At 47.9% G+C, this 9880-nt stretch overlaps 5 annotated features.

Moving 5' to 3' along the window:
* Window positions 460-961: an enhancer, noted in NCBI's record as "H3K4me1 hESC enhancer chr2:91814909-91815410 (GRCh37/hg19 assembly coordinates)". NCBI's record gives its function as "activates a minimal SCP1, AML or CMV promoter by ChIP-STARR-seq in primed H9 embryonic stem cells {active_cell/tissue: H9 hESC(primed)}" and the evidence as "EXISTENCE:reporter gene assay evidence [ECO:0000049][PMID:30033119]".
* Window positions 962-1461: an enhancer, noted in NCBI's record as "H3K4me1 hESC enhancer chr2:91815411-91815910 (GRCh37/hg19 assembly coordinates)". NCBI's record gives its function as "activates a minimal SCP1, AML or CMV promoter by ChIP-STARR-seq in primed H9 embryonic stem cells {active_cell/tissue: H9 hESC(primed)}" and the evidence as "EXISTENCE:reporter gene assay evidence [ECO:0000049][PMID:30033119]".
* Window positions 1539-2108: an enhancer, noted in NCBI's record as "H3K27ac-H3K4me1 hESC enhancer chr2:91815988-91816557 (GRCh37/hg19 assembly coordinates)". NCBI's record gives its function as "activates a minimal SCP1, AML or CMV promoter by ChIP-STARR-seq in primed H9 embryonic stem cells {active_cell/tissue: H9 hESC(primed)}" and the evidence as "EXISTENCE:reporter gene assay evidence [ECO:0000049][PMID:30033119]".
* Window positions 5581-6081: an enhancer, noted in NCBI's record as "H3K27ac hESC enhancer chr2:91820030-91820530 (GRCh37/hg19 assembly coordinates)". NCBI's record gives its function as "activates a minimal SCP1, AML or CMV promoter by ChIP-STARR-seq in primed H9 embryonic stem cells {active_cell/tissue: H9 hESC(primed)}" and the evidence as "EXISTENCE:reporter gene assay evidence [ECO:0000049][PMID:30033119]".
* Window positions 6082-6582: an enhancer, noted in NCBI's record as "H3K27ac hESC enhancer chr2:91820531-91821031 (GRCh37/hg19 assembly coordinates)". NCBI's record gives its function as "activates a minimal SCP1, AML or CMV promoter by ChIP-STARR-seq in naive H9 embryonic stem cells {active_cell/tissue: H9 hESC(naive)}" and the evidence as "EXISTENCE:reporter gene assay evidence [ECO:0000049][PMID:30033119]".

A 9880-nucleotide genomic window follows, 5' to 3' on the forward strand; every position in this document is an offset into this window, starting at 1 on the left:
TGGTAGCTTGGGTTCATCCCTGAGCCTGTGAAACTTAGATTTGAACTCATGTATTTTGGGTGCCATGATTCTTGTCGAGGCAGAGTGGAAGGGCAAGGGCATGGAGCTAGATATCCAGGGTGACAACAGGCTCCCATGGTGCCTGAGTGTGCATTAAAAAAAGCACCCCTTCCACAAGACATTCTCCAAACTGTCGAACCAAACCCACCAGCATCTTCCTACCTGCCCATGTGCCAGGGTGGGGGGAAAATTAGACATGTTTGTCTCCCCACTACAAATGTCGGCCAAAAGATCCAACTGGAAAATGCTTGCTACTACCTTCCAGTTTCACGACCCTCTCAGCTAAGGAAGCCCTTCCTGCATCCATGTCTCTCTATGCCTGTCTGTGAAGTCCCAGCTCACAGCTGACCTGGTTAGGTAAGCACTGTTATTTTGTTTCAACGGAGGGAACCTTTGGATTACATGTACATAGCTAGTCAGTGGCAGCATTTGGTTCATCACGCTGGTTTTAAAAACTCCATTGCCTTTTCTCTTCATTAGTCCTATCATCTTATGAAGAAAGTCAACTCAGTACAAATATCCGTCAAACAATGGCTTAGGGATATGCGTACAGAACAATCAAATCAGCTGACAGAATATCTGGCTTTTCACCCAGTTATAAAATGTTGTGCTTTGCTTAACATGGTGAAGAACAAAAGCTGCTAACAGCTGATTTCTTTCTCCCAAAATGTGAGCCCTGCTATGGGAGAGCGCAACCAGCAGGGGGCGCTGGCGTCTTTCCCTGAACTTCAGGGCACGCTTGAGAGATGGTACCTGGTGGGTGGGCAGTGGCCTCAAGTTACCAAACGAAGGGGTGGGCGCAAGGTGTGCTGATTGGACTCCATTGGCTGCGCTGGGTTCCCGTAGCGTATGTGAGAGATACCTGTCACCACTTCCCGGCTAAGACCCAGCCAGTTTCAGCAAGGACGTTCCCTCCACTGGACCCACCAGGACCCACTCCCTGCAGGGCACCATGGTCCCTCTCAAGAGGCTTTGGAGGAACTTGGGAGTTACAGGGTGTTCCCCTGATGGGAGAGTCCCTGGCATGCCACGTGTGAATGGGACTGAGTTGGGTGGGGGAGGCTGGGAGGGCACTTGTGCTGGGTGTGATGGGGGAATGTAGTCCATGTTAGTTCCTCCTAAGAGCAGCCACTAAGAGGACTCTGGGGAGGGACAGATGGGTGCAGTGTTTTAACCCACAAATGGAAGGGTAATTCTGGCATGATGGTGGTTTTAGCAATGTTAGTAATGCACGGACCACCATAACCATGATAGTGAAGCTACATGTCTAAAAAATGTAAATCAAATCAGACCACCTGCTAAAAACGATTCAATGGTTTCCCATTGCCCCCCCTCCCTTTTTTTGAGGCAGAGTTTCGCTCTTGTCACCCAGGCTGGAGTGCAATGGCATGATCTCAGCTCACTGCAACCTCCGCCTCCTGGGTTCAAGCGATTCTCCTGCCTCAGCCTCCTGAGTAGCTGGGATTACAGGCGCGCGCCATAACACTTGTCTAATTTTTGTATTTTTAGTAAAGATGGGGTTTCACCATGTTGGTCAGGCTGTTCTCGAACTCCTGACCTCAGGTGATCCACCCGCCTCGGCCTCCCAAAGTGCTGGAATTATAGGCATGAGCTACCGCGCCCCGCCCTCCCATTGCTTTTAGTAGAAAATACAAACTCCTACCCGTGGACTATTGGGGCTATCACGATCTGGGCTCTGCATCTCCATCTTCTCATGCCAATCCCATCCTCTGCCTCCCCAACCCCATCGCCCTTCCTCCTGCATGGCTGCAGCCACACCTGGCTTCTTCTCTTTAATATTCCTACCATGCCTGCCCCACAGGACCTCTGCAGGAGCTGCTCTCTCTGGGGTGTGCACTTCTGGCTCAGGGCAAGGATCCATCTTTCTCACCCTTCAGGCTGTGTGTAGATAGATGTCCCTCTGTAGTGAGGTCCTCACTATCCAGCTCATTACGCTTCACTTCGGCACCCTGTCCAGACCCTTCACAGTCAGCTGCCAGCTGTGTTTTCTTATTTATTGGTGCTCATCCAGTCCAGTCCTGGATGGGACTGCCTGCCTCATGAGGGCAGGAGCTTTGCCTTCTCCTCTCCCAGAACCTCCCTGATGTGGTTGCTTGGACACGTGGGCCACCCTCCCAACACCAGACTATCGCAGGGTGCGGGAAGGGCTGGGGCCGCCGCAGGCCTTGAGGATCGCCATGTTTCCTTCTCTAGTTTTTGAGACATTGGTGAAGATCCTCTGCCTGCTTCTAGCACACACATCCTGACCTCCTTCTGCCTTCAAGACACAAGATGGCGCTTTAAGCCTTGTTGTTAAGAAAGAGGACTACAAACGCTTGAGTTTCTTCCCTCTGCTCGCTCTCAGACGTGGCTTGCGAGGGGATTTGTGGGGTCCACCTCTCCACAGCTTGGTGGGTGGGTTCCGTCCTCCTCCTCGGACAGGGCAGGACCAGCAGCCAATCACTCCTTCCTGCCAGAGAAGGAAGTGGCGCTCAAACTGTTTTTCTGACATCAGTAATATCTGCCTACACTCCTCCAGCAGGCATCTCTGAAACATCAGTTTTGGGTGATTGGTCTAAGCCAAGCACCTTTGATAGCAAGGGTAAGCCCGCTATCCTTTGCTGGAGATGGGCATGGAGAGGGCATGTGAAGAGTGCCAGACCAGGCGTTGACAAGCTATGGCTCATGAGAAGAATGGAGTGTACATTTTTAAAGGGTCATCTCTCTCTCTCTCTCTCTCTCACACACACACACACACACACACACACACACACACACACACACACAGAATATGCTGCAGAGATCATATGTGACCTGACAAGCCTAAAATACTCACTATCTGGTCCTTTATAGGAAATGCTTACTGACCTCTGGTCTAAACACTGAGAGGTAAGGGACCTCTGCTGCACCGCCCTGGAGGGATTTTTGATCCCTAAATAAGAAGAGGTGAGGAGGAAGCCTGCCCTTCCTCCTGGCCTGAATGTGCTTCTGAGAGGCAGTCAAGCCTGGAACTGTGGCAGCCGGCTTGTGACCATGAAGAAACCAGCCCAAGAAGAAAGGCCAACCTGCCAAGGAGGGAACAGGAGCCTGGGGCCTCGAGGACTTTGCTGAGCCTTCGTGTGACCCTGGAGCCACCTTCCTCTGGAGTTCTTGTGATGGCAGATAATTCAATGTTGTCATTGTTCAAGCCAGGGGTGGGCGAACTTTTTCCATAAAGGGCCACATGGAAAACATTTTAGGCTCTGTGTGGGCCATGAGATCTCTGTTGGCACTACAACCCTAAAAACAACCATAGACAATGTGTAAATGAATGGGTACACCTATGTTCCAATAAAACTTTATAAAAATAGATGGTGGGCTGAATTTGGCCCTGAGGGCCAGAGTTTGCTGTGTATTTTGTTTGTTTGTTTGTTACTTGCAGCTGACCTATCCTAACTAGTACTCCCTGAAGTCTGCCTCAGCTCAGAAGCGTCCTTGGGTTCCAAGCCACAGGGGCTAAGCTTGAGTGCGGGTGGGGTCTGCAGCAGGGTGGTGGGAGGGATAAGCACATAAAGGCCCACACATTGATCTGCCCTTTCTATGGTCCAGGTCGTGCTTTCCTGCAATATCTTCTCATCATGGGCCTAGCAATCATGATGGGAAGGCCCCACTTTAAGAGAATGCTTTCAGCATTTCCAGGCGGTCCCTGCTTGCCCTCAACACTACATGTAGGCCTCAGCTTCCACACCTAGCATGTTTGTTAAGCAAGACTAAGCCACATGAAGCAACAGGGCAAGGGGAGGGCCCTTGTGTTCTCAGGGTCCCACGGCAGAAGTGTGGTTCCGGGAGAAATGGGGGAGTGTGCCCTCCCCTGAACAAGCATATTCCCTCAGTGTGGAGGAGCCCCTCCAAAATTTACAAGTGCTGTGATGACACGATGCTCATTCAGACCACCGGCTGCAGACAGATTGCAGAAATACGTAAGGGCTCTGTCCTTGGAGGTAGGATCTGGTTGCTCCTTGTTCCCTAAGCTTGGCCCTGAAGGGAGGGCAGGATTCCAGCCAGAGTGAATGAAGAGTGAGGCTTTGGGGAAGGGCTCAGATTGCCCCTCGTGCTTGTGTTCAGATTCCTGCTGATTGGTTGTTCCCCAGGGAGACGAGGCTTCAAGGCCAGGTCTCTGCTCTGAGTTAACTTCACCACCCTGCACCTTGGTGGCAGTAAGAGAGTGACCTCAAAGGGCCGCTGAGAGAATTGAGGTGGATGCCTGTACAGCTCTAGGTATGGCACCCATTCCGGCCCCCTGGCAAGCTCTTACTACGGTTGCAGGTGTAATTTCCAGTCTCTGCCTCCAGGGATTGCTGCTGAGCACAGACACGTTTCTCTGCTCACAGAGTGAGGCCGCCAAGATGATTCTCAGATCTCTGGTTCTGTATACAGCCCAGATAGCCTGTGAAAGGGGGAATGATAACTCCCAAAGATGTCCACGTCCTAACCTCCAGAACTAGTGAATGGGATGTTGGCAGAAGAGACTCTGTGGATGAGATTACTTCAAAGATTTGCGACGGGGAGACTATTGTGGGTTATCTGTGTGGATACGCAATGTCATCACAAAGTGTCCTTATAGATGAAGAGGGAGGCAGAGGAGATTCGACTACAGAAGAGAAGGTGATGTGACCGTGGAGGCAGAGATTGGAGTGATGTGCCCACAATTCACAATGCCAGCAGCCACCAAAGAGGCAAGGAATGGATTCTCCTCTAGGGCTTCTACCAAGGGTCCTGGCAACACCTCAGTTTTAGTCCAGGAAGACTCGTTTTGGATTTGTGACCTCCAGAACTATGAGAGAATACATCTGTGTTGTTTGAAGCTGCAAGGTTTGCAGTAGTGTGTTAGAGCAGCGTGGAAAATCCATTGAGTCCCATTGCCCTGCTTTTTATGCCTTGTACAAAAGCAGAAAATGGTATGGATGGAATGGGAGGTCATTATGTTAAGTGAAACAAGCCAGGCACAGAAAGACACACATTGCGTGTTCTCACTGATTTGTGGGATCTAAAAATCAAAACAGTTCAACTCATGGAGCTAGAGAGCAGAAAGGTGGTTACCAGAGCCTGGGAAGAGGAGTGGGGGGCTGAGGGCAGGTGGGGATGATGTTAGAAAGAATGAATAAGATGTACTGTTTGATCACACAGCAGGATGACTGTAGTCATTAATAACTTAATTGTACATTTACAAATAACTAAAAGAGTGTAATTAGATCGTTGGTATTAGAAAGGATAAATGTGCCGGGTGCAGTGGCTCAGGCCTGTAATCCCAGCACTTTGGGAGGCTGAAGTGGGCGGATCATGAGGTCAGGAGATCGAGAGCATCCCCGTGAACACTGTGAAACCCCATCTCTACTAAAAATACAAAAAAAAATTAGCCTGGCATGGTGGCGGGCACCTGTAGTCCCAGCTGCTCAAGAGGCTGAGGCAGGAGAATGGCATGAACCTGGGGGGCGGAGCTTGCAGTGAGCAGAGATCACGCCATTGCACTCCAGCCTGGGTAACAGAGCTGGACTCCATCTCAAAAAAAAAAAAAAAAGAAAGAAAGAAAGGATAAATGCTTCAGGGATGGACACCTCATTCTCCATGATGTGCTTATTTCACAGTGCATGTCTGTATCAAAACATCTCATGTACCTCACATATATATGCACCTAATGTGTACCCAGAAAAAAATTAAAAAGAGCATAAAAGAAAAAAAAAAAAACAAAAAACAAAAGCAGAAAAGAGGGCAAATGAGAGTCGGGGACTGTGATCTCATTTTGCCCAGGATGAAGCTGGGTGACCCGGGTACAGAGCAAGCCCCTTGGCTTCTTGAGCTCCCATGTGCAGAGTGAGGGGCGGATGCAGGGGCAGGGTGTGACTTTGATGAACATTCCCTCCAGGTGGCTCTGCCCTCGGCCCCCTCTCAGGATTGTTTGTAGCTCTTTGCCTCTTCTTGGCCATTTGGAGTTTTCAGGGGCCCTACTAGGTCCTCTTGACTTCTCACTTTGCTCTCCTTGGTGGTCTAATTCATGGCCAAGGGCCTACCTGCCGTCCAGACACTGCTTTTCAACCTGACCTCTCAGCTCCAGGCTGGTTATTTCCAACAGCCTACTTGGGTGTCTCAAAGGCACTTTACACTCAATGTGTCCAACACTGAACTCAAGGCTCCCGGCATCGCCAGTTATCCCTCCACATTTCCAACCCTATGGATTGCACTAGCGTCTGTCCATTATGCAGGCCAGGCTGCAAAGGCTGTCTCAACGCTGCCCTTATGCTGTCGGGGCTTAGAACATGACACCCCAAAGCATGGTGCCTCAGCCTGAGTATTTTGAACTGAAGGACATTGGAAGGAACTCAGAAGCAAGGTCTTTCCAACCTTCTCCTCATACCCTCTCTTCTGCTTGCCTTCATCCTCCAAAGTGAGTCACAGAAACCAGAATTTATCTTCCTCAAGATGGGTCATAGAACCTAGAAACCCTCCTGCTAAAGCAAACCATAAAACCTAGAAAGGTCACTCTCTATCTTCTCCTTCTCCTTTGAAAACTCTCATTTCAGAAAGGGTCCTGCCCCATACCCAGGAGGAATGGAGGCTACACAGAGAGGCTGAGAAGAATCTGAGCAGACAGTTTTGCTGGGTCCCCTTTCAGTCTGTTCCCAGTAGGTCATACCCGTTTGTCCAATCACATTTCTATCTAGCTGTCCATTCTTCATCTAATCTAAGCATAAAAATTAACAGTTTTCCCTGGGCCTTTGGGTTGTCATTTCTGAAGCCTCCCATGTCACATAAAACTTGGATTAAATAAATTTGCTCTGTTTTTCTCTTGTTAATATGTCTTTTGTTATAGGAGTGTTGGCCGTGACCCTTGAGATGGATAAGTAAAGGACTCACACCTTCACAGCCCTACAGCCCCATCTCCAATAAGTAGCCACACCTGCCACTTCTACCCACAAATACCTGGATTCTGCTCATCTCTTCCCATTGTCATTGCTACCACTCAATTCCCTGTCACCGTCATCTCCTGATGGGTCTTCTGGAGCAGCTTCCTCACTCATCTCTCCAGTTCATCCCTTGCTTCTACCAGTCTGTCCTTGCTATGGTAAAACGGGCATTTGAGAAAGGCAATTACACGGTTACCCCTCCCCTGCTCAGCACTCTCCAATTTGATGGACACCAAAATCCTTGCCTTGGTCCCCTTGGTCCTGCGTGCCCTCCTCTCTGGCCTCATCTCAAGCCACTGCCCTCGTGCTGCACTCTTCCTCTGTAATCCACACTGCTGGCTTCTTTTCCTTGAATGTGCTATGCTCCCTCCTGCTGCAGGAGGGCCTTGCACTTGCTGCTTCCTCTTCTTTCTTCTAGTGAATTCCTATTCCTCCTTCAGCTCTCCATTCAAGCCAGTGCCTCAGGGAAGTCTTCCCTCACCTCTAGACCAGGTCTGGTGTCCCTGCCATGAAGCCTCACAACACCATCCAGCTTTCCTTCCTTGCATCTGTCATAGCTTTTGATCATACAATGATGTGTGGGACTTTCTGAATAGTGGTCCCTCTTTACCAATTAACTGTGAGCCTCAAGAGGAAGGAATAATGTCTGTTTGCTCCTCCTCTGTATCCCTAGTGGTGGTAGAAGAGGAGGTCAATAATTATCCTCAAATGAACTAAAATGAATGGATGCTTAGATTTTTTTTTTTTGAGACAGGGTCTTGCTCTGTTGCCCAGATGTGATGATCATGGTTCACTGCAGCCTCAACCCCTGGGGCTCAAGTGATCCTCCCACCTCAGCCTCCCAGGTAGCTGGAACTACATGCATCCACCTCTATGCCTGGCTAATTTTTGTATTTTATTTTATTTTATTTTTTTAGAGATGGGCTATTTTTACGTTGCCCAGACTCGTCTCGAACACCTGGGCTAAAGCAATCTGCCCACCTCGGCCTCCCAAAGTACTGGGATTACAGGCAGGAGCCACTGTATCTGGCCCAATGCTTAAGATCTTTTGAGACAAAAAGGAGGAAGTGGGAGATAGTTTCAATACCACAGGAAGCTCAGAAAAAAAAAACACCCCCCAACCCCCCCAAAAAACATACATGTATTTATTTGATATTTGGCTGTGCAGGTTAAAAAGTTATTTATTTATTTATTTGCTTTTGGAAAAACTCGAGTCAGCTTGATGAGGTCACTTTTTCCTGCTACTCCTTCTTATTTGGGGAGTAAAGGGACTTCCATGATCTGGATGGATGATTGTGATGAGGAGGTTACCGGGATTGCCCTGACAGAATGGACTGTGAGCTTTCAGGGATGGAAGCTGCATCTTCATCTCTATAATCCCTTGTTTGGCACAGTGTCAGCCTGAGAAGATGCTTGGCGGCAAATATGAATTATGGCACACACTGTTAATTTCTTATCCATGAGCAGTTCCTTTGCTTGCTAACAGAAAATCCTGATTTTGCTTGGATAAACAAAGTGTCCAGTGTCAGGTGATGACTCAAGGTTGGTTTAAGCCAGGCTGGGGCCTTTTGTTCCTTTTTGCCTGATACTTGAAAGAGTTTACAGTAGGGACTGTCCTGTGGTCCACTTCTGGATAATGAGACATAAGGAGAAGTCTGCTGTGTCCTTCTAAGAAGATTTTCTTCACTGGTTAAAGGCGAGAGACACATCAAGAAAAGCCCCCTTTGACATAGCTTCCTCCATCTTGTTCCTGGAGTCTGAACTTGGTCATGATGGCTGGAGCTATAACAGCCATCCTGTGATCATGAAGCTCCAAGGGTATAAAGCAGTAATATTCAGGAAGGTGGAGCCTTTGGACAAAATGATAAAAGGAATCTGGGGCCTCAGCTACATCACTGAGCCTTTTCAAGTCCTTGCCTTCTTCCTCTTAAATCCTGTTATGTTACATAACTAAATGTCTTTATTGCAAAAGCCACAAGTAGTCAGACTTTCTGTTATTCACAGCTGAAAGCATTTCTCTTATTTTCAAATAATTTCAGACTTATAGAAGAATTAATTGTAAGGCAAAGAACTTTCATGCCCTTCACCCACCTTCACCAATTGTTATTTGCCACATTTACTTTCTCCATCTATATAGTCTATTCTACTCTATTATCTTTCCCTGAACCATTTGAAATTCAGTTGCAGGCATCCTTCTCCTCTCCCTTAAACATTTCAGAACATATTCCATCAGAACAAGAAGACTCTAGTGCTCAAGTTCGGGGAATTTGAGGTTGATGCCATACAATCGTGTAGTCCTTGATAATTGTCTAATATACAGTTCACTTAAAATTTCGCCAACAGTCCCAATAATGCCCTTTAAGGCACGTTTCCCCTGATCCAGCTGTCATACCTTTTTAGTCTCCCTTAATCTGGAACAGTTCCTCTGCCTCTTTTTGTCTATCATGGGGTTGACACCGAAGAACAGTTCAGGTCAGTCCTTGAAGGTCCCTCCATCTGTGTTTGTCTGATGTTTCCTCCAGGGACCGGAATGCTACAGAAGCAATGCTGTGTTCTCAGTGTATCACATCAAGAGACACTTGGCACCCATTTGTCCTATTCCTGGTGTTGTTAACTTTGTTCAGCTCATTAAGGGAGGACCTGCTGGGTTTCTCTACTGTTAAGTTACCACTTTTTCTCTTTGCAATTAATAAACCATATGAGTGGAAGTGCTATGAGACAATGAAAACATACTTTACCTTCTTAAATTTTCACTCAGTGATGATTCTTCCTTGAATAAACTATTATGATCATGTTTGCAAATGGAGTTTTCTATTATTCCCTCTGTATTTATTCATTGGCATTCTACCGTAAGAAAGTCTTCTTCCTTCTTCCCTCCC

The sequence above is a fragment of the Homo sapiens genome, chromosome 2 (assembly GCF_000001405.40).
Source record: "Homo sapiens chromosome 2, GRCh38.p14 Primary Assembly".
Classification (NCBI taxonomy): domain Eukaryota; kingdom Metazoa; phylum Chordata; class Mammalia; order Primates; family Hominidae; genus Homo; species Homo sapiens.